At 32.4% G+C, this 4684-nt stretch overlaps 1 annotated feature.

The window, feature by feature from the left end:
- Positions 1925 to 2125: a silencer, noted in NCBI's record as "peak4373 fragment used in MPRA reporter construct". NCBI's record gives its function as "represses an SCP1 promoter by STARR-seq MPRAs in K562 erythroleukemia cells {active_cell/tissue: K562}" and the evidence as "EXISTENCE:reporter gene assay evidence [ECO:0000049][PMID:32103011]".

Raw genomic sequence — 4684 nt, 5'->3', positions numbered from 1 at the left:
CTGACCTCGTGATCTGCCCGCCTTGGTCTCCCAAAGTGCTGGGATTACAGGCGTGAGCCACCACGCCCGGCAACTAACACTTTTTGACTAGCGTCAAAAATACGTCTGCCTTATATCAAACTTCATTAAATTAATAAGATATAGTCAAGTTCCCTTGTATACATGCATACATTTTTATGAATTTAACAAACTCTAAAAGCATTGGCATATTTCAATTAAACATAAACATTGAAAGTATGTAAATAATTTACTAAAATTGATCACAGTACAGTTGGCTCATATAAATAATATTTATGTATACAACCATAATGAATTTCTGGCAAAGGCTACCCTATTGGTTGGAAGTCTTCAGAATGAAAATCCAAAATGAATTCTGTAAAAAGACAGCTGATTTTAACCTTAGAAAGGGCTCTAGGTTTTGTTTTTGTTATTTTCTTTTGAGAGCAAAGGTCTTAACATCATTTACCTTTTTATTTCTGTAGTTCATCATCGTGTGAGATGTAAGAAGGGCTTGTTGAAAGTAAAACTGAATAGGTTGTTCTATTTCAAAAGGATTTATCACTATAATCTTTCCCCATCTACAAAGTACTTGACCTAATCAAAGTCATTCTGCCAATTTTGTAATTTCTGCTTTGTGATTTGAGAGAACTTTCAATACAGCTAATAGAATTGAAAATCTTGAATTGCACAAATGTTCTCGAAGCCACTTTTACCTTTTGGCAAATGTAATTACTGTACCTTTTACAATGTAGTTAAAATTATAACTTTAATATTATGTATTTCCACTATTCTGAATATAGGAAAACAATATTTTTCTTAGTGAATAAAAAAATTAACTATTTATAAGCTGGTATATCTCATCATACAACTGTATAAATACGTTTTCTGCTATTACTCGTTAATCTCACAAAAATTAAAAATTATCAGTTTCTTGACAAGCAAATCTAGGCTGGGTCATCAGATTCAATGGGATTTTTAGGTGGAGGAAAAGAAAAAGCCACAAATTTCAATTAGCGTTTTAAAAACTTGGAATAGCATTAGGTTTTCCTAAGTACAAGAGAACCTAAATTTTAAGATCGTTACGTTATTTTACACTTTCAATTAATTTTTAAAAATTGATAGAATTTACAAATGCACACTAAATAAAATTACATAATCTATTCACTCTTCTTTGCATTCTTCTAATAGTTTTCTAACGTACATGTTTGATGAATAAAAGTGAAAATTTTCCATTTGGTAAATAAGCTATTATTTCTCAAAAAATTCTGTCCTCAAGAAGATGATATTTTCAGAGGCAGGCCTTAAATGTCTCAATGCCATATTTTCATGGTTATTCAGAGAATTCAAGATTATCAAGGAGAAAGAAATATATGAATCTTTAGGTAAGCAAACCCTTATACTGATGATGCTGTGTACAAGGATAAGATTTATTATGAGATTTCTGAGATATAGAAATAGGAATTTTCTTCAAACACTGGATAGCTTATGTACAACTTTCATTTAAAGTAAACAAAATGTTGTAGTGTCGTACTATCACACCATGGCACATTTATACCTATGTAACAAACCTGCGCGTTCTGCACATATATCCCAGAACTCAAAATAAAAAGAAGAAAAGAAATACAGTGTATAGTAAGACAAAATTTTGAAGTACTGTTTTTTAACCCGATTAATAACTCAAAGTCTCTAAATTTGACCCCAATATCTTTTATTTATAATATCATGTTCTGAGAATTGAACGGGTGTATTTAAAAAAGAAGCAGCATATTAATAATTCAATGAAGCATAAAAACTACACATCCTATACATCCCATGGACGTAGCCATGAAGGGAACAGAAGGCAGGGGATGTAGTTCCTCAGCATCTTACACAGACCTTCGCTGTCTCCGCTTTGTCAGTCAATACTCCGCTCAAACATGGCCTCCTCAGGGAGGTTAAGCACCGTGTCCACAATCTACTGTGAGGAGTGGCAGCTCTAGACCAAACAGCACATCCTCTGGTTCCCTGTTTGCTGCTATTTCCTCTATGCCGTGTTGATTTATAGCTATACGTTCATTTTTCAGGCCTGAGAAAAAGTGCTTAAAGTGCTAAATGTGCTTTCGATCTAAGTAGGTCAGAAAACGAACTTTCGGAGATTCAGAATCTTGTGATTTATTCTTACCCATATGTGGAAGAATCATTAGACATATGGGCATCATGGATGCTTACTAGTATGGAACATGTATTTTGTTTTCAAAAAAGTAATTTTTTATTTTATTATTTTATTTTATTTTATTTTATTTTGAGACGGAGTCTCGCTCTGTTGCCCAGGCTGGACTGCAGTGGTGCGATCTCGGCTCACTGCAAGCTCCGCCTCCCGGGTTCACGCCATTCTCCTGCCTCAACCTCCCGAGTAGCTGGGACTACAGGCGCCCGCCACCATGCCCGGCTAATTTTTTGTATTTTTAGTAGTGACGGGGTTTCACCATGTTAGCCAGGATGGTCTCGGTCTCCTGACCTCGTGATCCACCCGCCTCGGCCTCCCAAAGTGCTGGGATTACAGGCATGAGCCACCGCACCCAGCTCAAAAAAGAAATTTTAATCTAAGTAGTTTAATAAGTATATAACTGAGACCCAATATTTTGTTCCAAAAAGCATGGAAGAGACCTTTTTTTATCTAAAATATTTAAAGTGTATATTAGTAACAGAAACCACATTAAGAAAAATCCATTTGTGTATTTTTAATGTAAGACCTAATTTTGAAAAAATCTGCCTTTTTGGTAAGCCAATTAAGATACAGAAATATAAAATGTTCCCCTAAATAGCTGAGCAAGTTCAGAGACTGAATAAGATTATTAGGTATCATACATTTACCTGCATGATTATGTTGTCCAAATTCAACAATGCTCATTTTACTGTATTCGATCTTAAAATATTTCCTCAGTTAATAATAGGCTTTATTGTTCACAATGGACATTCATGGTTGAGATAAAAGAAATAATATCATTTAGAAAGAGAGCAACGTTGTTCTTCTTGTCTGTTCATAGCTGGCCTGCAGATATCTAATTTATCTGACGAACTAAATAAAGTAAGTAAGAAAATGTTAAATATAATTAGAAAGTACATTTGATTCCCTTTCAAGTGAAAATTTGACCTAAAAATGATCTCTTTAGCCCAATTTATCCTAGCAAAAGGAAAGATGCAATTTTGGTTGATATGTTGAATTAGAATACCCAATTTCAATAACAGATGATTTATGCATATATTATCAGACTTTGTCAAGAAATAAGTACAATGAAAATATTATTAAAAATACATTATGAAACAGATAAAGAGAATATACTAGTTTTCAGAAAAGGCCAGTTTTTTACAACTGGCTTGCTTGGCTGTTTTTTTATAGTCTACTATACCAGAGATCTTTTGTGTAATCTGTTGACATGAAATATTGTCCTCAAATCTTGAGACTATGATTTGGACTGAATAGAGGAGTTTCAGTTTTCAAAAACTTTATTAGTTACCTTTTTTCTTTTTTAACGTGTTACAGATTACTCTGTATTCTGACATAACTAACTTTGCCTTTGTCTCCATATACGGTTCAATTACACAGTTTAATAAAAAGTAGGGCCCACTACAATGGAAAGTAGCTGAATGGTTTTCCTATATTCTGTCTTCTCTCAATATCTCTTTGGAATCCTGGTGGTTGATTGACAATTAATGTACTTATTAAATCAAAGATAAGAATAAAACTAAACAATAGAACTGGAAAAGAATTTTACATGTTTATGTGAGCTTCCAAATATTTCTCATATAAACTATGAAATAGAATGCAAAAGCCTTTCTACTTGTATGATAGTCCTGATTCCTGAAAGCCCAATCTCTCATGTATATTCATTTGCAATATATTTTTAAGGTCTCTAATTTAGGTAAGGTAATTTGAAATTTAAACTCCTATGGGGACTTCCTCTTCAGAATGTGATGAAGTAATTTAGTTTCAAAAATTGCAGAATAATTAAACATAGAATATATCATGTACATTGCAAAGAAGTCCATTCACCAAAAACAGATTCACATTTTTAATTAAACCTTAATAAAAACTCCAATAGGTTTTTTGTAAAAATTGATAACCTGATTATAAAATTTACATGGAAATACAATTGGCCAATAATAATCAATTCTAAGACTAATAAAGAAAGGTTAAGAAAGAAAATTTGAGGAAACTCAGACATTGAGGTTTATAAAGCCAAATAATCAAGGCAGTGTGGTATTGGCATATTCATAGTCTAATGAAGCAGAATAGAATCCACCAACAGATTTACACATATATCACAAATTGATTCATGACCAAGATGGTACTGTAGAGCTATATAAAAAGGATTAATTGGATAGTCTTATGGAAAAAAAATGAGATGATACTCCAACTCACATAAAGAAATGTCAGTTCCAAGTGGGTTATTCACCTAAAGGTGAAAAGTAAATAAAGCAAGATTTTTGAGAAAAATATAAGACAATATTTTCCTGGCTTTCAGATAGGCAATAATTTTAAAAACTAGACACGAAATCACTATTCATAAAATTACAAATAGATATAGTGGATTTCATTAAGATTAAGAACTTCTGATTATGAAAAGATACCATTGAGTTAAAAGCAAGCCACTAAATAGGAGAACATATTTATATTATACATTACCTATGAAGTCTCAACACT

Source organism: Homo sapiens, chromosome 21 (assembly GCF_000001405.40).
Source record: "Homo sapiens chromosome 21, GRCh38.p14 Primary Assembly".
NCBI lineage: Eukaryota > Metazoa > Chordata > Mammalia > Primates > Hominidae > Homo > Homo sapiens.
The sequence above is the reverse complement of the archived record's forward strand: the minus strand, read 5'-3'. Positions and strand labels throughout refer to the sequence as shown.